At 38.8% G+C, this 27,669-nt stretch overlaps 1 long non-coding RNA gene across 2 annotated transcripts in view; it reads right to left on the bottom strand.

Annotated features, from left to right (window-relative positions):
- Positions 1 to 3,004: 3,004 nt before the first annotated feature.
- Positions 3,005 to 27,669, bottom strand: part of LOC101928277 (uncharacterized) — a 205,476-nt gene continuing 180,811 nt past the window's right edge. For both annotated transcript variants that reach the window (XR_001744364.2, XR_001744363.2), the window contains one exon: positions 3,005 to 3,134. This is a non-coding gene — a long non-coding RNA (uncharacterized LOC101928277). The remainder of the gene's footprint in view (positions 3,135 to 27,669) is intronic.

The following is a 27,669-nucleotide window of genomic DNA, read 5'->3' on the forward strand; positions in this document are numbered from 1 at the left end:
AGAGAAAACCAACAAAAATTATATTTTTTTATTTGAGCAATGCAAGTACGTGAATCCATTATAAGTATGAAATAAACAAAACAGAGTGAAATTAGGTAATGGATCTAATTGAAATTAGGTCACAAATCTCTAAATAAAAATCTACTCCCTTTATAAATGTCCATATTCATAGAATGAACTCTGACTTGACTGCAGCAGTAAACTAGTTGTTCTTCACTAACTAGGTGAATGCAGAAATTTAGACGGACAGAAGGGTGGGTGGGTGATTAGAGATGGAATTCGTAAATGTGAGCGTAGGCATTGTAAATTTTGTTGGTCAAATATTTTTGGCAGTCTAATGATTTTGAAAAGCTCCTTTTAAAACTATATAATATAAAACTTCAGAGAGAAACAAATCACTAAAACTCAGGCCTAAGTCCTACATAATTCGTATTGAACTCTTTATAAACAATGTGAATGAAGTACAAGACTAAAACTCATAACACTATTGTTAATAATCACAATCACAATAATTTAAAGTTGGTTTAAAAAAAGAAAGGCCACAGTCAGGCGCAGTGGCTCACACCTGTAATCCCAGCACTTTGGGAGGCCAAGGTGGGTGGATCACCTGAGGTCAGGAGTTCGAGACCAGCCTGGCCAACATGGTGAAACCCCGTTTCTACAAAAATACAAAAATTAGCTGGGTGTGGTGGCAGGCGCCTGTAACCCCAGCTACTCAGGAGGCTGAGGTAAGAGAATCACTTGAACCCAGGAGGCAGAGGTTGCAGTGAGCCGAGATCATGCCATTGCACTTCAGCCTGGGCAACAAGAGCGAAACTCCATCTCAAAAAGGAAAAACAAAAGAAAGAAAGAAAGGCCACAATGCAAAATGCTTACTGAGTTCAGACCTTTTCTACTTCAAATGGATGAACCAAGTTTCAGAGAAACTAAGTGACTTACCCAAAGTCAAGCAATAGTAGTTTGATTATTAGAAGAACAAATAACTAACCCTGTGTAAGAAAATAATTCTTTTCCAGGGAGTCCTCAGAACGTATGTTTAAAAAGCCAGTTGTACATTAAACTCCGATAGACGTGCACAGAGAAATTTGGGCAAAGTCCTACTTATGTAATAATGCTGGTAGCAGTGACTCAGACGAACAAAGAATGTTGTATAGAAAGTTAAGCCAAGCCTTGGGAGGCTGAGGCAAGAGAATCGCTTGAACCTGGGAGGCAGAGGTTGCAGTGAGCCAAGATCGTGCCACTGCACTCCAGCCTAGGTGACAGCGCAAGACTCTGAAAAAAAAAAAAAAGAAAAGAAAAAAGAAAGAAAGGAAGGAAGGAAGGGAGGAAAAAGGAAAAGAAAGAAAAAGGGAAAGGAAAGGAAGGGAAAGGAAAGAAAGGAAAGGAGGAAGGAAGGAAGGAAGGAAGGAAGGAAGGAAGGAAGGAAGGAAGGAAGGAAGGAAGGAAGGAAGGAAGGAAGAAAGTTAAGCCAAGTCTTCAAGTCTTGCTCAAATGCTATCTCTGTCATGAGCCTTTTCTACTCTCTCAGAACACAAGTCTGCCTCTGAACTTCCAGAGAACTTCATTTATTTCTCTGTTAGGATAGTTGTCACTTATTTGTTTAGGCAACTCTTATGTAGCACTTACCAATCACTGTTTCAAGTGTTTCCTTCAAAATAATCCCATATGATAGGTACTGTTATTTTCCTGATTTTACAGATAAGAACCTGTGGGGTAGAGATGGGAGATAACTCTGACGAGGTAATACAGAATTCACACCAAGGGAGTCTAGGGCAGGGTGCATGCTCTCACCTCCACCCTGCACCCTCTAACTGTGCTGAAGCTATAGGCCTCCATGCCCAATCTTCTCATCTATGCTGATAGTTCCTAGAGAATAGAGCTCATTCTGATTCATGTTTATATTCCATGTAACACTTTAAATAGTGCCTGCAGGGTGGGTGCGGTGGCTCACGCCTGTAATCCCAGCACTTTGGGAGGCCGAAGCAGGTGGATCACCTGAGGTCAGGACTTCGAGACCAGTCTGACCAACATGGCAAAACCCTATCTCTACTAAAAATACAAAAATTAGCTGGGTGTGGTGGCAGGTGCCTGTAATCCCAGATACTTGGGAGGCTGAGGCAGGAGAATCACTTGAACGCGGGAGACAGATGTTGCAGTGAGCCGAGATCATGCCACTGCACTCCAGCCTGGGCGACAGAGCGAGACTCCGTCTCAAAAATAAATAAATAAATAAATAAATAAATAAATAAATAAATAAATAAATAAAATAGTGCCTGCAGAAGCTTAGAAACCAATCATTAACTAAATAAGTGAATAAACAAACATGTGAATAAGGTGGAAGGACATCTAGGGTTAGTCAGTGAGAACACATCTGTGGCAAATGTGGTTGGTGCTGAGCTGGGAGAAACAGCATCTTTTCTCTTTGCTCACTTCATTCCCAAGTACTGTCTGCATGCTCCTTTGCTCAGGGTACTGTGCTAAGATTTGTTAAATGAATAACTTGTAGGAAAAAACAGTCAGTTGCAGGATGTGAGCTGGCTCTTGATGAAACTCTGGAGTAGAAATGTGAACTTGCAGCTCTCTTTCTTCCCTGTCTTCCCAGTAATGGGTGCTTCACTTGGGCTCACTTAATGTGGTTAGAGAGGTCACCACGGGGCTTCCAGGAAGAGAACAGTCTGAGTAAAGCACTGGGACAATTATGTTAAGAATCTACAAGCACATTCTATAAAATATATATTCACTCAGACCCATGATTCAACCACTCCAATGTTCCCTCTAGTTTAGATTTGTACATTTGATTTGCCCCTTCTTCATAACCACCATAAAATCGCACTAGTGCGTGACTCACTTTCTTTCATTTACTCACATTTCAGTGATGATAATTAACCTTAGCTAATAGCTCTCTTCACTGGAGTGACTCAGGGATTCCTAAAAGCAACAAGCTCACTTGATAGACGGGAGAAGATGGAGACACGAAATGCAATTTGGCTCATATACTCTTGCATTATAATCTCACGCACTCTTATTTATTAGAGCTCTCTGTTGGGAGGCCTCCTGGTCAGAGGTGGGGGCTCTGGAGTTCAAATTCTCTATTTTGGTCAGTCTCCAGGTAGCAGCAGTTCTATAATTGGCAGCTGGGACAGAAAGGTGAAAAAAGTATAAAAATGTTTTCTTCTTATTATATTTTATGATAATCTATATTATTACTTTTTGCCTCAAAATTGCATATATTTTTCTGCAAAAAAGTTAAACGTAGAATCACTGTATGACCCAGGATTTTACTCTGTTTCAACAGATACATGTACATATATGCTCAAAGCAGCATTGTTCACAATAGCCAAAAGATAGAAAATGCCCAATGTCTGTCAACAGATGAATAGATAAACAAATTGTGGTAGAAAGATCGTGCAGCAGAAACTTATTCAGTTGTAAAAAGAAATGAGTACTGATACATGCCATAGCACAGATGAACCTTGTAAATATTATGTTAAATGAAAGACACCAGACACAAAAGGTGAGAGATATATGGTATAATTCCATTTATATGAAATACTCAGAATAGGTAAATCCATAGAGACAGAAGGCAGATGAATGATTTCCAGGGGTTGAGACGACGAGAAAATGAGGAATGCCTGTCTAATGGGTGCAAGCTTTCGTTTAAGATGACAAAAATGTTTTGGAACTAGATAGAAGTGATGGTTGCACAACACTGTGAATGTATTAATGCCACTGAATTGTTTACTTTACAATGGCTAATTTCACAAAGGTTTGTAGCAGGTGAATTGACATAATACAATTTCCGCCAGTGCTCTGAATGTCAACATGAAGAAATTCAATGAAGGGTGGGTAAACATGTGGGAGTAATTTTGACTGTCTTAAGGTAGCTAAATGCCTCATCATCTAATTAGTGATGCACATGAATGGATGAATGAGATTCCCACCACCCCTGCCTACCATCCAGGGAAACCACAGCCAAGAGAATGGGCTTAGCAGAGTCAGCAAGGAAAGAAGGCCCTGTTGAGCTTGGTGATGGACATGTTAATTAGCTTGATTGTCGTCATTATTTCTCAATGTATACATACATCAAAACATCATTTTATATGCCTTAAATATATACCATTTTTCTTTGTCAATCATACCTCAGTAAAGCTGGGGAATATGTATAATCTTATGTTGTGAATCTCACCTCAATTTTTAAAATTGCATGTTTTCCAATAGAGATGTTGTTAATACACTAAATAGAATGGTAAATTTGTTATTCTTCTGCAAATCAGTGTAGTACAAATCCTACCATTCAAGCATGAAGTTCAAAATATTTAATAACCAGCAAGAAACATGTGCCCCTGAATCAGAGGTAACACCTGCCATTAACAATGAATGGAAGCCATCTGAAAGTGCCCCCTGCCAGGCATCAGGCAGAACACCACTTAAGTGTCATTGTCTCCGAGTGCTACACACTACAGGTGACCACTCATGATCTCACTGAATCCTCACCAACAACCTCGACACATATATAAAGGGATATTTCTTCAATTTTGTACAAGAAACTAAACTTCAGAGGTACTAAGTGATTTACCCTAGGTCACGCACATAGTAAATGGCAGAACCAGGACTCACATTTAGATGTTCCTATTTTGAAACAAGAGCACTTTCCCGCATGAAAGTTGTTTGCCAAGATGACTTGCAGCAAACAACTCGACTGCTACAGATTTTTGGCAAAGATATTGGCCTTCTAAGTGCGCTCACAGATTTTTAAATTATTGAAAGAAGGAGGTAGAAAACACCAAATGAAAAACGGGCCAGATTTCCCAGAATAAGACTTAATGGTATAGTGACATTAATAAAAATAGTATTTGACAATTTAGTATTTTGCAGAAATATGTAACTTGGATATAAAAGCAGCAAAAAAAAAATGACACACATACACACCACCGACAAATCTGATGACAGTGCAGTATCCAGGCCAGCCCCGTGAACATACAACCTGTCCTTGCTCCAGCGGCACTGTGCTTGATTTAATGCTCTATCATTGCCATCTTGAAATTCTTAAGCGTTTCTTAACAAGGGGCCCTGCTTTTTAATTCTGCACTGGGTACCACAAATTTTGCAGCCAGAACTGCCAGCATCCAGCTTATTTCAATCCATATCTTGCCTACCTAGAAGAGCTATTACGAAGATCACGTCGGGTAATATTGGGTAACTCTTTATAGTTTACAAGGTACTATCACATAAAAGTCATTATTCTTCAGTTAACTGATTAGTAATTATTTAGATTCACACATTGCTGTTTGCCTCTGGGGAAATTGATGGAAAGGGTAGGAGATCTGCAGAGACAGAAGCCATATCCCAGCAAGGTACCTACACCTAGGTCTCCTGATGCCCAGGGAAGGGTACTTCCCACAGCTTTTGCTGATTGTCACCCTTCAGCAGTAAGCTCCAGTGACAGCTCCCCAGGGAAGCTTCACTTACTCATAAACCATATGAAGAGCTCCATTCACTCACTCCCACTTACACTCTGTCATGTCACCCTATTCATATCCTTCATAGCATTGTCACAATCTGTAATTATTTCTTTTTTGTTTGTTCATCATCTGCCAACTCTACCGGAATGTAAACCCTACAAAGGCAGGAACGTGTCTGGCGGTTTTGAGCAGTGTGTATTCCTAGCACAGTACCTGTCATGCAGTAGGCACTCAACAAGTTATTTCTTGAATGAATGAATGAATGGGTGAAAGAATATTCTTTTCCAGTAGGCTGGAAAATGCTGCTTTCTGTGGTGACTCTAAAGCACCAAAATGTCCTTTGGTCACATGGCCAATGGGTAGATTTCATTGGAATGCATTGGTTTACAAATGTTTAACTATACACTTACTTATCTACCTACTCTGAAAATGAGATTCTAAGTGATAAAAAAAAATGGCTTTGGAATTTGTACTAAGCCAACTGTGCACATGGTACAGAATGTTCTCAGAAGCACCAAGACTCATGAATAATAAGGCAGCCCATTTCCTGGACTTTACAGCCTTCCTTGCCCGATGTGCTCCCTCGCCCACAGCCCTTTGGCCTGCTGACGGGAATCTGGATTCTCTTCTCCCAAGTGAGATACCAGATGAAATGCAAGGGGATTACCTTTATCCTGAATTTTGGCTGTCACTTGTGCTCAGCTCCCCTCCATACATAGAGCATTGCTATTTTATGGAAAGAATATAATTAACACCATATACCACAAACCTGGCTACCAGCAGAGACCCTGACCAAAGCAGCATTTTTCCATTCAGACTGTGAATGTGAGATTGCTCCAGATGGCAAAGCTGAATCAACAGACCCCAGCAGGAAGGTTGGGTTTATTTCACAGCAGGTAGGAATGTGCAGTTGCAGCACAAACAGAACATTTCTCTGGCCTTCCATGAATTATGTGCTCGTCATGCTTAATAAAATGAAGATCCACTAGGCTATGTGTTCCAGACACAAACTTTTTTTGATTAAAAAATCTATATATAACATTACTCATATGAACTGGTGTCATTTACACATATACCTATGCACACACATGCACACACAAATCACCTAAGCACATACTCGTTGTAAAAAAATCAAATAATAGAAAAGTATATGGAATAAAAATGTAGGAGGCCTCTTTATCTATCTCAGCTTGCTCCCCTCTCCCAGGGGTACATTGCTAACATTTTCAAGTATATTTCTCTCTGAACTGTTTTAAAGCATATCGTTCTGACACATGGTGCATTTAAAAACATTTATTTAAATGATTGTATAAAAAAGCTTTATAAAAACATTTATTGATTTTAAAATACATATGTTTTCACATATGAACATTTCTGAAATCGGGCTGTCTTACATTTGATGGCTTGTTAGATTCAGTGAAACTCCACGTTTTTAAGTTTTTAATGAAATGGCTTATACGTTATGTATTGTTCTGAAACTTGCTTTTCAAGAGAGCCTAAATAAGTTATTTACATAATATTTAACATTCTCACTGCATTTATATCCACATTATTGTGTGATATTTTTAAGCTGAAAAATATATGGCTATAGCTCTCACATCTTCAAATCGCTTCTAAATGTATTCCTGACCCTCCCTCAGTACCATGAGCATAACGGTCCAAGTTCTTTATAAAATTTTTTTGCAGATTAGATAAAGGATTTGGATCATACTCTTGGAAGTACCTACTAAAATGCACACAAAATAAAAATATCTTATAAAACTGAGGGTAATAGGTGTGTCACTTGACTTACACACTGGTTTATTGATGGTTTTGTTTCTTGTTTTTTGTGTTTTTTTTGAGATGGAGTCTCGCTCTGTCACCCAGGCTGGAGTGCAGTGGCGCGATCTCAGTTCACTGCAACCTCCACCTCCCAGGTTCAAGCTATTCTTCAGCCTCAGCCTCCTGAGTAGCTGGAATTACAAGTACCCACCATTATGCCCAGCTTTTTTTTTTTTTTTTTTGTATTTTTGTGGAGACAGGGTTTCACCATGTTGGCCAGGCTGGTCTTTAACTCAGGACCTCAAGTGATCCACCCGCCTCGGCCTCCCAAAGTGCTGGAATTACAGGCGTGAACCACTGTGCCCGGGCTTATGTTTTCTTTAGGGATGTGCAATTAATAATGTTCTGTCATGTCATACCCCAAAGAAAATTTGTGGAGTCATGCAGTCTCTCACCATTTCTCCTGATAGGAAGTGGGGAAGTGAGATGTGCTAACTCCATCCTGCTTTCCCTCACAGTTCTCCCAGACTTCGGTTACACTCCCTCCCCCAAGCGCCATCCCCTAGTCATTATGCAGCCTAGATTCTCTGGAGCGATTCCAGGAGGCTGGGCAGGAATTCAAGACTACAGCCACATAGAATAAGACTGCAAAGAGAGGCGGACTCTGACCTGGACTCAGGTTGGCTTTTGTTCACAATAAGCCTTTAAGAAGAAGATTCACTCTAGAGCCTCATGAGGGGGAGGTCCCAAAGGTTTGGGCGAGGTCAGGACACCTCAGTGCTGTGTGGAACTAACTATATTTTAGGCCTAGAGATTACTCAGCGTTTTTGCCATTTATCTTCTCAGGAAAAAGATGCTGCAGTGGCTTTTGATCCAATAGCCTGTTCTAAATCTGTCACATAGCCAGTCAGAATCCATGAATCTGCCACAAATATCCTAGCTGCCTTCTACCTCTAAAGGGACCCTCAACCAGTCCACTCCATCATCTCCTCTGCTACCCACCACGTGCAAGCTGTCACCATCACTGACTTAGGTTCTTGAAGTGGCCTCCTGTTGGTTTTCTCCATTCTGCAGTTACCTTCTACCAATCAATCTTCAAATGTAAGCTAGAGCGATCTTTGAAAACACAAATTCCCTTAAGCGAATATGTCACCTCACCTTGCCCCATTTTAAACCCTTCTGTGGTTTTCTATTGCACTTAGAAGAACACCTAAAATCCTTGGCTTGGACAACAAGTGCTTAGGCATCTACCTTTCCAGAATCTTCTATATGCCACTCTCTCTCTTACATGGAATGTTCCAGACACACTAACCTTGAACATCCTGAGTTCTTTTCTGTTGCAGAGCATTGGTTGTTGCTTCTGCCTGGACAATCTTCACTTCAACAATGAGCATGGCCTGCTCCCTCTTATCCTCCAAGTCTTCTCTCTCCAAGCCCAGCTGGCTTTTCCACAGCACCGTCTATAGACTACCCTCCTGTTACTCTATCATATCATTCTGTTTCTCTTTTAAGAGCACTTACTATAGACTCTATAATTATCATGTGGTAATGTGTTCATTTTCATTTTCTGCCTCCCTATATAAAAATTTAAACTTCTGAGAATAAGAACTTTGTTCTGTGTTCCCAATTTCTCATCTAGAGCATTTCCTGAACAATTGGACCAACAGACATTTTTGAATGAAAGAGTGGGCATTACCTACATATTTAAAATTAATTGAGAAGTTCTGCAGGCCTGACATGCACTAGCCAGAGCTGCCTGTACCAAGGTTGAGTGACAACAGAATAAAGCAGCTGTTCACCACCCAGGTGCCCATCAGTATCACAATCTGAAGGCCCACTCTAACCTGCCAAACACAGTCTTTTGTGGAAGAGTCTGAACATCCTTGGTTTGGAGGTGCCATGAGGGATTCTGATGCATCTATGTCTAAAAATGTCTAGGAAGAACCTGTCCCTTGACTCTGAAATCACTAGTGCCCAAAGTGGACTGCTGTGGGGTGGGGGGGATGACATGTGTTTAAGAGTCGATGCTTACCCTGTCCTGCCTTAGAAGAAGCAGCAAACATGGAGCCACCTGGCAGGCGAGAGCAGAGTCTCAGAAGAGATGCTCTGCACACAACCAAAGCTTCCAGGAAGTTCATGAGTCAACCCGAATCAAAGCCTTGAGCTTTTGTGGAGGGGTGTGTGTCTGTGTGTGTGTGTGTTTGAGAGAGAGAAAAAGAGTATATGTGTTTGTGTGTGTGTGTGAAACACCTCCTTTTATAAAAGTAAAATAGTGTGAAAGTTTGGAATATACAGAAGAATATAAAGAAGAACTTAAAAACCACCCATGAATCTACTCAAAGATCATCATGTTAACATTCTGATTTTTAAAAACCACCATGGCCACTAATACTGAGTGCTTATAATCTACCAGACACTGTCATGCCTCACATGAATTTACTTCTTGAACCTTCACAACAACCCAATGAGGTAGGTGCTATTGTCCTTGCCCATTCTACAGATGAGAAAACTAAGGCACAGGGAAGGAGGTTAGGAAATTTGTACCAAATCATACAATCTTAGAATTTTAATTTAACAATCTGCCTCCAGAACTAATGTTCTTAACTACTGTGCAATAAAGACTTGCCTTCCATAGATGTCTCTTTGTAGGATTATATATATTTTTACAAACGCACACACATATATGTAATAGGGAAAATGGTTTAAATATTAACAACTTTCCTTCTTCTCCTATTGAGGAAGAAAGCTCATTTTTGGCTATCAGATTTCTGAGAAATAAATAAAAATTTCAAGACTCACTTTTTTCCAATTAAGAGAGCGATCATCTTTCTATTGCAAGAAGTTTGATTTGTTGATTTGTTAAATCATGAACGGGTGCATTTTTAGTTAGTTTGTTTGTTTGTTTTTGAGATGGTGTCTCACCCTGTCACCCAGGCTGGTGTGCAGTGGCGCGATCTCAGCTCACTGCAACCTCCACCTCCCAGGGTCAAGCGATTCTCATGCCTCAGCCTCCCAAGTAGCTGGGGCTACAGATGCCCGCCCCACGCCCGGCTAATTTTTGTATTTTTAGTAGAGACAGGGTTTCACCGTGTTGGCCAGGCTGGTCTCGAACTCCTGACCTCAAGTGATCAGCCCGCCTCGGCCTCCCAAAGTGCTGGGATTACAGGCATGAGCCACCACACCTGGCCGGGTGTGTTTTATCAAATGTTTTTTCTATGATTGTAGAGATGCCCATGTTTCTCTCCCACTTCCCACACTCCTTTAACCTATCAGCTAAACTAGACTTTTTATTTGGCCATGATTTTTTTCCCTAAACAACGGCTAAATTTTGTTTGCTGATATTTTCTTTCAGATTTTTGCCTCTATTGTAAACAGTCAGGTTGGCTTTCAATTCTTTTCTCATAATGTTCTTGTCTGATTTTGGTATCAAGGTTATAATAGACATCAAAGGAACCGAAGAGAGCTCATCTCTGTTCTCTGAAAGAGTTTAAGTTTGGAATTACCAATATCTTGAACTCACCTATAAAAATAGGCTGGGCTCAGCCGGGGGTGGTGGCACATGCCTGTAATCCCAGTACTTTGGGAGGCTGAGGTGGGCAGATCACCTGAGGTCAGGAGTTCAAGATCAACCTGACCAATATGATGAAACCCTGTCTCTACTAAAAATACAAAAATTAGCTGGGTGTGGTGGCATGTACCTATAATAGCAGCTACTCAGGAGGCTGAGACAGGAGAATCGCTTGAACCCAGGAGGTGGAGGTTGCAGTGAACCGAGATCGTATCATTGCACTCCAGCCTAGGCAACAAGAGTGAAACTCTGTCTCAAAAATAATAATCTGGGCTCAAATTTTTGCTCACAAGATGATTTTTAATTTTTAATTCAATTTCTTTAACGGTTATAGCACTAATCAGGTTTTGTCTTATTTTTTGAGTCAGTTTTGATAATTTTTATTTTCCTAGAGATGTATCCATTTCTCAGAAGTTGGTTGTTTTGTTTTTTTTTGTTGTTGTTGTTTCTGAGACGGAGTCGCCCAGGCTGGAGTGCAGTGAGTGGCTCAGTCTCAGCTCACGGCAACCTCCGAGTCCTGGGTTCATGTGATTCTTGTGCCTCAGCCTCCCAAGTAGCTGGGATTATAGGGATGTGCCATCATGCCTGGCTAATTTTTGTATTTTTAGTAGAGACAGGGTTTTGTCATGTTGGCCAGGCTGATCTTGAACTCCTGACCTCAAGTGATCTGCCCGTCTCGGCCCCACAAAGTGCTGGGATTACAGGCATAAGCCACCGTGCCTGGCCTCTCAGAAGTTTTTAAACTTATTGGTATAAACTTGTTTTCTTTCCTTTATCTAATCTCATAATGCCGCATGTGTAGTAACATTCTCTTGTTAAATTGTTAATATGATTTGTTTGTGACTTCTTTTTCATCTTAATAAATCTTCACAGAAATGCACCATTTTTATTACTCTTTTGAAAACAAATTTTCTTCCTATTTGCATTTGTATCTTTGATTTCTACTTTATTGATTTTTGTCTCTTCAAGTTTCTTTGAATTATTCAGTGAGTTTCTTCCCCTTACTTCTAAAATTGAGTATTTTGCTCATACTTTTTAGCCTTTCTTATTTTTTATACAAGAATTTAAGGCTATAATTTTTTTTTTTTTTTGAGAGGGAGTCTCGCTCTGTTGCCCATGCTGGAGGGCAGTGGCATGACCTCAGCTCACTGCAACCTCCGCCTCCCAGGTTCAAGGGATTATCCTGCCTCAGCTTCCCGAATAGCTGGAACTATAGGCGTGTGCCACCACGCCCAGCTAATTTTTTTGTATTTTTAGTAAAGACAGAGTGTGCCATGTTGGCCAGCCTGGTCTCAAACTCCTAACCTTGTGATCCACCCACCTCAGCCTCCCAAAGTGCTGGGATTACAGGCATGAGCCACCGTACCCGGCCAAGGCTATAAATTTATCTAGCAGCACAGTCTTAGCTACATCCCAGTTTTGACATACAGCATTTTTATTATTATCCATTTCTAAGAATTTCCTAATTTTTATTCATTCTTCTTTTATTTAGAAGTGTGTTTTTAACTCTCTGAATGTATAGGACATTTTCAGTAATCTATCTTAACTGCATTGTAGTGAGAAAATATAATAGATATATTACCAATCTTTTAAGAAAATTTTGAGATATTCTTTAAGGCCTAATACATTTAATCAATTTTCAGAAATGTCCCTTTTTTTTTTTTCCAAGATGGGGTCTCGCTGTTTTGCCCAGGTTGAAGTGCAATGGTGTGATCTTGGCTCACTGCAACCTCCACCTCCCAGGTTCAAGCTATTCTTCCACCTCAGCCTTCCAAGTAGCTGGGACTACAGGTGCTCACCACCATGCCCAGCTAATTTTTGTCTTTTTTTTTTTTTTTTAGTAGAGACATGGTTTCACCATATTGGCCAGGCTGGTCTAGAACTCCTGACCTCGTGATCTGTCTGTCTTGGCCTCCCAAAGTGCTAGGATTACAGTCATGAGCCACCATGCCGGGCCCTATGTTTATTTTTTTAAATGTAAATTTTGTGCCCATAACACCACAGAAGTCAGTTTCTGCATCTCCTTTAAATGTTTTTCCTGGCCTTCAAGGAATTCCCTTGTTTTCTTGCCAGTAAAAATTGCATTAAAAATATATTTGTCAAATATATTTTATCCAAAATTTTTACATGTGCTAGATTATGAAGGGAACTTACTTTTGGAAAAGAAAAAATCTATTAATTTAATAGGAATTATTTTCTCTCTTCATGCAATTTTATCTCTACTGTAGCTCTGATTATATCATATTATAATTGGGTAGTCAGAAGTCTGCTTTCTCTTTTGACATTAAACACTTGGAGGAAATGCCTGTGTCATGCTCATTTTGTAAGCCCTTGCTTGCCTCGAATAGAATTTTATTAATAAATTTACCTTAAATAGATGTAATTCATCAGTAGAAAACCTGCAAATGGGTAAGCTCCTCAAGACAGAGCTTCTTCTCCATCTTTGTGCACCTCTGAACCCAACATGGTAACTTCCACGCAGTAAGGGCTCAAGGGTTCCACTGATCAACCTGAGAAAAGTCACTTTTCAAATCTGCTTAGAGGATATTTATATTAGAAATACTAAAGAACACATGTGAGTCAGCCTTTGAAACATCATTTAATTCTGTGGTTTGTTGGGAAACCCAAAAGGAAGTTTGAATTTATTTCCTGAAAGAATTTTAATTGGGTTCAAGTGTCTAACTCTTGCTCTCCCAAGTACTTTTACTTGAATTTATTAAATAATTCATTTCTATATTTCTAGAAATAATTATCATAGAAACCTACATATACAATCAAACTTCTAATACTTGGCATTCCATGTAACAATAGAGAATTATAAATTTTATTTTCCATGAGTCAGATTATGCATGTCAGAATCCAAGAAACTCAATTCTGGTGCACAGTTTCTGAAAATTGGTCGTTTAGTGAGGCATTGTCTGAAGTCAGAGTGGTGGACTACTGTTCTCTTTTCTGCTGAAATTATTTAGTTCCTTAAATTAGCTCCCAGAAAGAGAAACTTGATTTCTCTTTTATCCATACTAAGCCTAATATAATTGAGTGGACACTCTACAGGACTGAGATCCAAAATCCCAAATACTTTTTTCCATTTATTCAACATGTATTGAACTCTTTACGTATAGCACTGTACATCCTCAGTTAGCCATTGATCTGTCATCTATCATTTTATCTTCTTGTTTGAGTTTCCATCACTCTTCTTTCATCAATAATATAGGCATGCTGAAGATCAAGAGCATCCTAGGTCAAAGCTAAGGATTCATAACTCAACAGCCAGGAGAAACATACCAGATATTTCCTCCAGTAAAATGTGTTACACTGTTAAATCTTATTAAACGATTACACAGAACAAGAGTCTACAAACTCAGTAATTAAAGCCATAAAATAGAAAAGCTGTGTTTATTATAAGAGAGAAATTATTAAATGAATGAAAGGCTGGTGTTTAATAGTTTGCCTTGCACTGTCCAGTATAGATGAATTAAAATGACATAGAAAGAAAGATTCAATCAATAAGTTACTAGCCTTCCACTTGGTTTCAGGCAAGGATGTAAAAACTAGTATTTTTATAGACTAAAAATGTTTATTTAGGGGAACTGTGACTTATATCAAAAAAAGGAGGACCATAAGCCCATATCTAATCACAAAGCTATATTTATCTTATTTTCTTTTCTTTTCTTTTTTTTTTTTTTTTGAGATGGGGTCTCGCGCTGTCGCCCAGGCTGGAGTGCAATGGCATGATCTCCGCTCACTGCAAGCTCCACCTCCCGAGTTCACGCCATTCTCCTGCCTCAGCCTCCCAAGTACCACCACGCCTGGCTAATTTTTTGTATTTTTAGTAGAGATGGGGTTTCACCGTGTTAGCCAGGATGGTCTCGATCTCCTGACCTCGTGATCCGCCTGCCTCGGCCTCCCAAAGTGCTGGGGTTACAGGCGTGAGCCACCGCGCCCAGCCATTTATCTTATTTTCATAAAACTATGCAAAATGAATATCCCAAAACTAGGAACCTCAAAAGTAGGGGAAAAGCCAAATATATTTGATTTTAGGTTGGTTAACTTGGATTAATATTTTTCTGCAGCCATTTACATAAGTATTATTGAAATAATTTTCCAAGAATTTTTATTCCATCTAAAGATACAGACATGCTGTTCTTCCTGTCCAAGATTTCATTGCCAAGACAGCTGAAAAGCACTTTGGATTTTATCCTTTTGTATTAGCCTTGATTTTTCTTTAAATTCTATTTTCAGGCTGACTTCAAATGATAAGAAATAACATGAAATGTATGAGCTTAGTTTACAAATCCTAACAGAAACTGTAGCTCTGGCAATTCAGGGAGTCAGGAAAATCCACTTTCCTTGACTTCCAAATGACTTTATCATGATAGAAAAGCCATTTTACAGTTTCTTTTCTAAGTGTACTTGAGACTGGCTTTCTAAATATATCCATTAAAAGAAAAAAACGTCTACCTGCCAAAAAGAGTTGGTCATGTCCTCTGGCCCTGGCGGATCACAAGGGTAATTTCTCCTTTCTAAATTGGAAATTGCTCACATCCCCTCCATCTGTGTGGGTGTGTGGTGGATTCAAGAGCTTGTTCGTACTCCCTATAATAATTGACTCAGAGTTCTTGCTCTCCTGCAACACCCTTTACCTCTTTCTGCCCATTAATAACATGTGTTCAACAAAGCCTTGGGGAATGAATCACCCCGGAGTGTAAGATGGTGACATCCTGGGAAGCGGAGATTTGATTGGCATACTGCTTGATGGTTTTCTGAGTTCATCTGAATCGAGTTCTTACTTTATTCCAAAAGAGAGTTTCATTGCTATAAATTATCCATAGCAACCAATTTTACTGCAATAGCAATAATAATAACAATACATTTAGAAATAATACATACTTGAGAATGCATCCTCAAGTAACTTGCCTCCCTTTTTGCTGCACCTGTTACTCTTTGTTATGCAAAACATTATTAGTGTACATAGGCTACTGTCAAAATATTTATACTGGGCAATGAAAACATGCTTAGGAAGTCATAATTTGTAAATTCCTGCTTGCCTAATGATAGTTATTTTGGGGTGCTCAGATACACAATTCCAAACTCTGGATTATTCAGGTAGAGTGCTGAAGTACACTTTCTTAAAGGAATAAAAATAATTAGAGCTGTGAACACAAGAACCTTAAAAGCATCAAGTCATAATTGCCAAGCTCTCTGGTCCTGGCTCAGACATATGTGCTTTCATAGTGGCCTTAAATAAAATGTATTGACTTGATGATTTTTTCCTTTTTTTTTTTTTTTTGATGAAGTCTACTCTGTCGCCCAGGCTGGAGTGCAGTGGTGCAATCTCGGCTCACCGCAACCTATGCCTCCTGGGTTCAAGCGATTCTACTGCCTCAGCCTCCTGAGTAGCTGGGACTACAGGAGCATGCCACCACCCCTGGCTAATTTTTTGTATTTTTAGTAGACACAGGGTTTCACCATATTGGCCAGGCTGGTCTTGAACGCCAGACCTCGTGATCTGCCCACCTTGGCCTCCCAAAGTGCTGGGATTACAGGCATCAGCCACTGTGCCCGGCCGATGATGGCTTTAAAATATAATGTTTATTTTGACAAAATCCATCTATTATGTTGGTAATGTTTCTTTTTCAATTACAGAAGTATTGCATGTGTACTGTTATATATATGTGTGTGTGTTTCTATATATGTGTGTGTGTGTGGTCTATATATATTTATATTACATATTATATTATATATGCTATATATAGTATATTATGTAGTATATGTATAATATATATTACATATATAGTATATGTATATGATACATTATATATACTATATATAGTATACTCTATATAGCATATTATATATACTATACCTATATATTATTTTATATATACTATATTATATATACTATATATTATATAGTATATGATATATATTATATGTAATACATGTATATTATATATGATATGTTATATATTATATGATATATGTATCTATATCATATATGATATAGATTCATATATGATATAGATTCATATATGATATAGATTCATATATGATATATGTATCTATATCATATATGATATATGTATCTATATCATATATGATATATGTATCTATATCATATATGATATATGTATCTATATCATATATGATATATGTATCTATATCATATATGATATATGTATCTATATCATATATGATATATGTATCTATATCATATATGATATATGTATCTATATCATATATATGTATCTATATCATATATGATATATGTATCTATATCATATATGATATATGTATCTATATCATATATGATATATGTATCTATATCATATATGATATATGTATCTATATCATATATGATATATGTATCTATATCATATATGATATATGATATATGTATCTATATCATATATGATATATGATATATGTATATTATAAATATATTATATATGTATATTATATATAAAATAACAATGGTATAAAAAGGAAAATATGTAATGTTTGCCTGCCTACATTCTACTTCCACCATTATTTACCCATCCCTAAACATGTGTACACACCACACTGCTACACCTTGTAAAGTATATATGTGTTCACATCCTTGTATGAACATATATGTAGATTGTTTTTACCAAAATGGAATTATGGTTTACATATGGTTATGTAATTATCCCCACTTTTTACAACATGGACATTTTTCTAAGTCAATACCTCCACCTTACTCGATTGTTATATACTGCATAACATTTGACTGAATATATCATTGTCTATTTAACTATTTCAAATATTTAAATTGTTTCTAATCTTTCCTATTATAAACAATATTGTAACATACCAACTCATTTTCAGCATGAGTACACTTAGTTTAGAAGAAATTATATTCTTCAACTTTACCTTCCTTAGATAGCAAATACAACAATCCCCAAATTACCAGAATCCAAAGTGCTGGAAACCACTTTTTGAACTGCCATTGATTCTGTCATATTGTAAATCAAACCAGGTCATCATTGGAAAGCATCCCTACTCAGCTACCCCTCTCTCCTCTACAGGAACAATGGAGATCTATATTATGTATGAAGCTTGTCTCTCTTAACGTTGTTACAAATTCTTTCCATTGTATTAAAATACTTTCTTTTGCAAGGGAAATAAAAACATACGCTTTAAAAAGTCATACAAATGAAAGAATTGCTACATCTATTTCCTCATTAGAATGCTATTCAGGGTGTGGTGGTACCAGGAAATTAAGAACCCACCCAGTTAAGGTTACTGAGTGATGGGTTCGTTAGGAATTTCCAACAATTTAATGAATTTCGTCTAAGAATTTGAATGTTCCCCTCAGAGAGGGTAATCAGGCATCAAAAACACAATGAAACCTGCCCATCTCCCCAGAGAGAAATGAAAGTTGCTGGTGAAGACAAGTAATATTAGAATCACATCTTTTCTTCACCTATTTCTGGTTTTCAAAGGGGACAATAAATTCCTAAAAGCTAAGGTATCAGGAGCAACCTGATAAAAATATTTGCCATTTCAAATTCTATATTCTGTGAGGCTATAAATGATTTTATTAGTTTATTCCCGAGCAAGTACCTTATAAGTTTTACAAGCAGAGAAGCGGAGACTGCACTCTATATGATGAATCAGTTGCCCAGGAAGAGGTGCCTGTCTCAGGCTTCCCAGGCTTTGCTAATTCCCAATCATTGCCAGTTGCCCCACGAGACAAGCATGACTGAGATAAAGTGTCCTTTCACAGCCACTGAACAAGCCCAGCATTGTCCCTTCCAGTTCTTAGAATGCGCTATTTTTAATTTAGCAGACTAGCTTTTATCTTGCTAAATGAAAGGTATTCTATACACTCTCCTGAGTTTTTTTTTTTCTCTTGCAGTCTCTTCTCCTGGGAAATTGAAAGATTTTTTTGAAATGATATCCAAAGGATACAACCTTGCCTATTACTTCCCCTGGAGAGGAAACAAGGCTCAGAGATTCAAGCCATAGTTTTCTTTACACTTGACAAGGTTTCAAATGCCCAGGATGTTCTTAAAAGTGTGGATACTGTTACACTGTACTAAGAATGCCTAGCCATGGCAGGGTGGTGGGGAGCGCTGGCACTTGGCAAAGGAGCTGGGGTTTTACTAATGACAGATCCCGATAGCAGGAGCCAGGTCAGAGCTGGCTGCATGCACTGCCCTGGGGCCGGAGGTACCTCTGCCAGGCTCCAGCCCTCTGCCTGCCAGCACACAGTCCTGTGGCGACTGAGGATTAAGAAGACCAGGAACCCAGGAACCACAGATCCCTGAGAGATGCTGCAAGTGGGAGGAAGATAGCTAAGAATGGGTTCCTTGCAAAGCCTTTCTTGTTGCTGCCTCCACAGTCCCTTCCTTCCCACCCACTCGACTGCCACCCATATATACTTAATGGGTACATAGTGAAATTGTTCTACCATACTGCATACCCTGAGTGGATTCTTCCAGGAAATGTTTAATCCCAACCAACCCCATCCTGCATCTCTGATTCAATCAATGGCCACTCCCATGGCCACCATCACCATCCCCTTAACACCTCTCCACCTGTCTCCATCCCCCAGCCACCTGGTGGACTAAATGGTAATATTTTGTCTTTCCTGTCCCACAGCCTTCCCGGATGGAATGTGCACTCCCTCATTTGTGTCTCTTTTGTGTTCTGTGCACACTTCTATTGTGCACCTGTAATGTTAGTCTCCCCTCTTCAAATACAGAGACTGGGTCTTGTCTACCTCTGTCTGCCCCGTCCCTGTACTAGGAACATGGCACTCAGTGAACGAATGAGTGCTGACCGACTAAAGAATGATTGTGTATCTGGCCAGTGCTGGGAAAAGCTGAGCATATGAGCAAGATGTCTTCCTCTCCAGGCATTCTCTTATCCCAGGTTGACCCCTCTGTCATTGTGGCTGCTGCTACTGTGGTTACAGTGGTGGTTGCTGCAGGTGTCCTCAACTCTGCTGCCTCCGCAGCCCTGTTCAGTTGTCTGCTGTTAAGCTTGTGCTCTTCTTAATACTTTGGCATGGGCTTCTCAGCCATTGGAATTCTTACCTCTATTAGAATCAGCTGGATCACTTTTACAAAATCTGTGCAGATGTCCAGGCTCCACCCCAGACCAATTAATCAGACCCTCTTGGCTGGGCGTGGTGGCTCACGCCTGTAATCCCAGAACTTTGGGAGGCCAAGGTGGGCGGATCACCTGAGGTTAGGAGTTCAAGATCAGCCTGGACAACATGGTGAAACCCTGTCTCTACTAAAAATACAAAAATCAGCTGGGTGTGTTGGCGCATGCTTGTAATCTCAGCTACGTGGGAGGCTGAGGCACAAGAATCACTTGAACCCGGGAGGCAGAGGTTGCAGTGAGCCAAGATTGCACCACTGCACTCCAGCCTGGCCAACGGAATAAGACTCTGTCTCAAAAAAAAAAAAAAAAAAAAAAAAAAAAAAAAAAAAAAAAAAAAAAGAAGAAGAAGAACAAGAAAAGAGGAGGAAGAGGAGAAAGAAGGAGGGAGGAGGAGGAGAAGGAAAAGGAGGAGAAGAGGAAGAAGAAGCTCTTGAGGGAAAACTCAGGCATCATATATGCATTTTCTGAGCTCCCCAGGAGATGCGAGAATACAGCCTGGGTTGCCTGTACTGACTTAGTGGCTCCAGGGGCTACCAATAGGGGGACAGGGCAACGAGATGATCCATAACACTGCCCATGTAAGGAACTGAAATACCAAAGCATTCCATAGTGAGCTCTGTGCAGAATCAAGAAAAAAAGATGGCTCAAAAGTTTTCCTGCCCCTGAGTTCAATGCAAAAGAGATGACTAGTGTGGTTTCTGGGTAGGACTGTGTTTTTTCAGAGTTTACAACACATATTTCTGGTGCCTGGCCATAGGCATCTCTACACTTCAAATCACTGTTGACACTCCTTGAAGATAGGGGTATAATTCCCCAGCCATTGCTTCTTCAAGACAGTTCAGTCTATGAGATCCACTTGTTTGTTCACCATGTAGTATTTCATCTTGCCATTTCATAAGCTAGATTTTCTAGGGCAGTTAACAGCAAGAAACTTTACACTCCCACCAACAGCATATGTAGGTCCCCGTTTCTTCACATCCTCACTAACATTTGTTATTGCCTGTCTTTTGGACATAAAACATTTTAACCGGGGTGAGATGATATCTCATTGTAATTTTGATTTGCATTTCTCTGATGATCAAGGATGTTCAGCACCTTTATATTATGCCTGTTTGCTATTTGTATGTCTTCTTTTGAGAAATGTCTGTTCAGATTTTAGGTATTTTTTGTTTGTTTTTGTTGTGGTGGTGGTGGTGGTGGTGATGGTGGTGGTGGTTTTTTGATTTTTTTTTTTTTGAGACAGTCTTGTGTTGTCACCCAGGCTAGAGTGCAGTGGTGCGACCTCAGCTCACTGCAACCTCCACTTCCCAGGTACAAGTGATTCTCCTGCCTCAGCCTCCCAAGTAGCTGCACACCATGACGCCCAGATAACAGGTGCACACCATGCACGACAACAGGTGCACACCATGCACACAACAGGTGCACACCATGACACCCAGATAATTTTTTGTATTTTAGTAAAGACAGACTTTCACCATGTTCCATTTTTTTAAATTGGATTGTTTCAAAATAGAAAAAGATTCTTCCTGTGGCTCTAATCCTAATCTCCTGAACACAGTCCTTCATAGAAGAACAAAATGGAATTGTCCTCCCTGAGAGCTAGTTTTCTCTAAAGGTCTGAAATGCTGAACTCAAGACAAGAGATCATAACTGATCATCTACCATGGGCACTGGCTAAATATCCTGGGGGTGGAAACACTCAAACATGGTCCCTGCTTTCCAAGGAATCCCTATTAAGTGGACTAGAAAGACACGCACACATACAACAATATTTCACATCAGATTATGATAACATAGGTTTAAGAAAGTACAATGTAGATGAGGAAAGAATGATTAATTTTGACAAGAAAAATATATTTGTATCTAAATATGGTTTCTGAGAAAATAAATATCTTTTAAGATAAATTTTGTTCCTCTTGTCTTTATATATTTCTTTTCTTCCCTGACACATACACAAACACACATCATATCACAATCATGGATTTCCTTTGGAAAAGCACCACGAAGAACTTGCCATATGGGGGATGGTGGGAGGGTAAGCATTCAAGCAGTTTAAAAATAATTTTTAAAGAAACCTCAGCCTCGGGGCATCTACAGATACACAGAGCACACAATCTGTTCAGAAGGAAAGTTACCACTGTTTCCTGTCATCTCTCAAACATGTCTTCCAAAGGTACAAATCAGGCTATACATTATCCTATATGGGGAATAAACTGAAAATAAACCTAGTGAGAAAATCGTCCCCTTGCAAGATTAGCTGTCCACATACATACCATTTATAAAGTACTGGACATTCGAAATATTTTTATGTAGTTTCATTCAAGGAGACAATACCCTTAGATGTCCACATATAACCAGCTCTCTTTGGACAATAATTGGCTTATGTGAAATGATTCTGTAATACAGATGTACATCTGCTTTTTCACTTGGCTATAACCAAGAGGCAGGCTCCTTGTCTCGCATATTCAAATGACCAACATAGCAGAGCATCAAAGTACAAAGTACACACGGTCCACTGGCATATTTGTGTCAATTCATTGAAATGCTTAAAAATATCCGGTTATTTAATAACTAAGGATATCTGAAGATCAGTTTTTCTTTCTTTTTTTTTTTTTTTTTTTTTTGAGACAGAGTCTTGCTCTGTCACCCAGGCTGAAGTGCAGTGGCACGATCTTGGCTCACTGCAACCTCAGCCTTTCAGGTTCAGGTGATTCTCGTGCCTCAGCCTCCCAAGTAGCTGGTATTACAGGCATCTCCCATCTCGCCCAGCTACTTTTTGTATTTTTAGTGGAGACGGGGTTTCATCATGTTGTCCAGGCTGGTCTTGAACTCCTGACCTCAAGCAATCCACCCCCCTCAGCCTCCCAAAGTGCTGGGATTACAGCCATGAGCCACCACACCCGGCCCCAGTTTTTCTCTAACAGGGCAAGGGCAGGAACAAAGAATGTGAGCAAAAGATACACTGGGATATGGACAGCATAGACCAAAATACTGAACACTGTTCATCATATTTTGCCCAGACAACCTGAGTAAGCTAGGTGGCTATTTTCCTCTGACTGGACTGTATTTTTTTTTTATTTTTAATTTTTGTAGGTACATAGTAGGTATATATATTTACAGGGTACATGAGATATTTTGCTACAGGCACACAATGCATAATAATTACACGGAGTAAATGGAGTATCCATCACCTCAAGCATTTATCCTTTCTTTGTGTTACAAACAACCCAATTATACTTATTTATTTTAAAATGTGCAATAAATTATTGTTGACTGTAGTCACCCTGTTGTGCTATCAAATACCAGATATTATTCATTCTGTCTAACTATATTTTTGTGGCCATTAACCATTCCTCCCACTAACCTTCCCCCCGTACCCTGCCACACTACCCTTCCTAGCATCTGGTAACCATTCTTCTACTCTGTCTCCATGAGTGCAATTGTTTTAATTTTTAGCTCCCATCAGTAAGTGGGAATATGTGAAGTTTGCCTTTCTGTGCCTGGCTTATTTCAGTTAACATAATGACCTCATGTTGTTGGCAAATGACAGAATGTCATTCTTTTTATGGCTGAATAGAACTCTGTGGTATATAGAGGTCTATTGTTAAATGTTGTGTGTAAATATGATATGTACACATATATACCATATATACACACATTTATATATATGTGTGTATATATATATAACACATACATTTTCTTTAGCCATTCCTTGGTTGATGGACACTTAGGTTGCTTCCAAATCTTGCTATTGTGAATAGCGCTGCAATAAACATGGGAGTGTAGGTATCTCTTCAATATACTGATTTCTTTTTTTTTTTTCTTTTTTTTGGTATATCCCTCACAGTGGAATGCCTGGATCATATGGTAACTCTATGTCTAGTTTTTGAGGAACCTCCAAACTGTTCTTCACAGTGGTTGTACCGATTTACATTCTCACTAACAGTGCACAAGGGTCCCTTTTCCTCTACATCCTCACCAGCATATGTTATTCCTTGTCTTTTGGATAAAAGTCATTTCTAACTGGGGTGAGATAATATCTTACTGTAGTTTTGATTTGCATTTCTCTGATGATCAAAGATGTTGAACACCTGTTCATATGCCTGTTTGCCATGTGTATGTTTTCTTTTGAGAAATGTCTATTTGCCCATCTTTAATTGGATTATTAGGGTATTTTTCTAGAGTTGTTTGAGCTCCTTATATATTTTAGTTATTAATCCCTTGTCAGATGGACAGTTCATAAATATTTTCTCCCATTCTGTGGATTGTCTCTTCACTTTGTTGATTGTTTCCTTTGCTGTGCAGAGGTTTTTAACTTAATGTGATCCCATTTGTCCATTTTTGCTTTGGTTGCCTGTGCTGCTGGGGTATTACTCAAGAAATCCTTGCACCATCCAATGTCCTGGAGAGTTTCCCCAATGCTTTCTTTTAGTAGCTTCATACTTTGAACTCTTATATTTAAGTCTTTAATCCATTTGGATTTGATTTTTGTAAATATGAGAGATAGGGGGCTAGTTTTATTCTTCTTCATATGAATATCCAGTTTTCCCAGCACCATGTATTGAAGAGACTGTTCTTTTCCTAATGTGTGTTCTCTTTGTCAAAAATGTGTTCATAGATGTGAATTTGTTTCTGGGTTCTCTATTGTGTTCCATTAGTCCATGTGTCTGTTTTTATGTCAATATCATACTGTTTCGCTTACTATAGCTCTGTCACATAATTTGAAGTCAGGTAATGTGATTCCTTCCCTTTTTTTTTTTTTTCCTCATGATAACTTTGGCTATTTTGAGTCTTTTGTGGTTCCATATAAATTTTTGGATTGTTTTTCTATTTCTGTGAAGAATGTCATTGGTATTTTGATAGGGATTGCATTGAATCTGTAGATTGCTTTAGGTAGTATGAACATTTTACGAATATTGATTCTTCTAATCCATGAACGTGGAAGTTTTCCATTTTTTGTGTGTCCTTTTCAATTTCTTTCATCAGTGTTTTACAGTTTACATTGTTGAAATCTTTCACTTCTATAGTTAATTCCTAAGTATTTTATTTTATTTATAGCTATTGTAAATGTAATTCTTTCTTGATTTCTTTTTCAGATTCTGCACTGTTGGCATATAAAAATGCTACTTTTTTTTTTTTTTTGAGATGGAGTCTCGCCCCGTCACCCAGGCTGGAGTGCAATGGTGCAATCTTGGCTCACTGCAACCTCCACCTCCCAGGTTCAAGCAATTCTCCTGCCTCAGCCTCCTGAGTAGCTACAATTATAGGCATGCGCCACCACGCCCAGCTAATTTTTTGTATCTTTAGTACAGATGGGGTTTCACCATGTTGGCCAGGCTGGTCTCAAACTCCTGACCTCATGATCTGCCCACCTCGGCCTCCCAAACTGCTGGGATTACAGGCATGAGACACCATGCCTGGCCAGATATACTACTAATTTTTTTATGTTGACTTTATATCCTGCCATTTTACTGAATTTTTAAATCAGTTCTAATAGTTTTTTGGTGGAGTCTTTACATTTTTCTAAATATAAGATCATATTATCTGCAAACAAGGATAATTTGACATCTTCCTTTCCAATCTGGATGTCTTTTATTTCTTTCTATTGTCTGATTGCTCTAGATAGGACTTCCAGTACTATGGTGAATAACAGTGGTGAAAGTAGGCATCTTTGTCATGTTCCAAATGTTAGAGGAAAGGCCTTCAGTTTTGCCCCCATTTGGTATGATACTAGCCATGGGTCTGTTGTATATGGCTTTTATTGTGTTGAGGTAAGTTCCTTCTATACCTAGTTTTTTGAGGTTTTTATTTTAAAAGGATGTTAGATTTTATCAAACGCTTTCTCAGCATCAATTGGAATGAGCATATGGTTTTTGTCCCTCATGCTATTTATATGATGTATCACGTTGGTTGATTTGCACATGTTGAACCATCCTTGGGATAAATCCCACTTGGTCTTGATGAATGATCTTTTAAATGTGTTGTTGAATTGGGTTTGCTAATATTTTGTTGAGGAATTTTTGCATCAATGTTTATCAGGAATGTTGGCCTGTAGTTTTCTTTCCTTTTCTTTTCTTTTTTTTTTCTTTTTTTTTTTTAATGTGTCTGTCTGGTTTTTTTAATCAGGTACTACTGGCCTCATAGAACGAATTTGGAAGTATTCCCTCCTCCTCTATTTTTTGGATTAGTTTGAGTAGGATTGGTATTAGTTCTTCTGTAAATGTTTGGTATAATTCACCTGTGAAGCCATCCACCCCAGGCTTTTCTCTGCTGGGAGACATTTTATTACAGCTTCAGTCTTGTTACTTATTATTGGTCTGTTCAGGTTTTGGATTTCTTCATGGCTCAATCTTGATAGGTTGTATGTGTCCATGAATTTATCCATTTCTTCTAGGTTTTCAAATTTATTCACACATAGTTGCTTATAGTAGCTTCTACTGATCCTTTGAGTTTCTGCAGTATCAGTTGTAATGTCTCCCTTTTTTTTTTTTTGAGATGGAGTCTCACTCTGTCGTCCAGGCTGTAGTGCAGTGGTGCGATCTTTGCTCACTGGAACCTCCACCTCCCAGGTTCAAGCAATTCTCGTGCTTCAGCCTCCCAAATAGCTGGGATTACAGGTGCACGCCACTACGTCCAGCTAATTTTTGTATTTTCAGTAGAGACGGGGTTTCACCATGTTGGCCAGGCTGGTCTCAAATTGTCTCCCTTTTTTATCTCTGATTTTATTTGGGTCTTCTCTCTTCTTTCTTAGTCTGGTTAAAGGTTTGTCAATTTTGTGACCGGGCACAGTGGCTCATGCCAGCTCTACGGGAGGCCAAGGTAGGCGGATCATGAGGTCAGGAGATTGAGACCATCCTGGCTAACACGGTGAAACCCCGTCTCTACGAAAAATACCAAAAAAACTAGCCAGACGTGGTGGCGGGCACCTTAGTCCCAGCTACTCGGGAAGCTGAGGCAGGAGAATGGCATGAACCTGGGACGTGGAGTTTGCAGTGAGCCGAGATCAAGCCACTGCACTCCAGCCCGGGCAACAGAGCAAGGCTCCGTCTCAAAAAATAAAAAAAAAAAAAGGTTTGCCAATTTTGTTCATCTTTTCAAAAAACCAATTTTTCATTTTACTGATCTTTTGTATTGTTTTCTTCATTTCAGTTTCATTTATTTCTGCTCTGTTATTTATTATTTCTTTTCTTCTACTAATTTTGGATTTGGTTTGCTCTTGCTTTCTTAGTCTTTAGAATGAATCATTAGGTTGTTTATTTGAAGGGTTTCTATTTTTTTTCCATCAGAAGAGATTTTTTTTGATGTAGGTGCTTATAGCTATAAACTTTTCTCTTAGCACTGATTTTGATGTATCCTATAGGTTTTGGAATGTTGTGTTTCCATTAGCATTGGTTTCAAAAAATTTTTTTAATTACTTTCTTAATTTCTTCATTAACCCACTGCTCATTCAGGAGCATATTGCTTAATTTCCATGTGTTTGTATAGTTTCCAAAATTCCTCGTTACTAATTTCTAGTTTTATTCCATTGTGGTCAGAGAAGATATTTGACATAATCTCATTTAAAGAAATATTTTGAAGACTTGTTTTGAAACCTAACATATGGCCTGTTCTTGAGAACAATCCATGTGCTGAGGAGTAGAATGTGTATTCTCCAGCTCTTGCATGAAATGTTCTCTAAATATCCATTAGGCCCATTTGGTCTACAGTGCAGATTAAGTTCATTATTTCTTTGTTGATTTT

This window comes from Homo sapiens, chromosome 6 (assembly GCF_000001405.40).
Source record: "Homo sapiens chromosome 6, GRCh38.p14 Primary Assembly".
Classification (NCBI taxonomy): domain Eukaryota; kingdom Metazoa; phylum Chordata; class Mammalia; order Primates; family Hominidae; genus Homo; species Homo sapiens.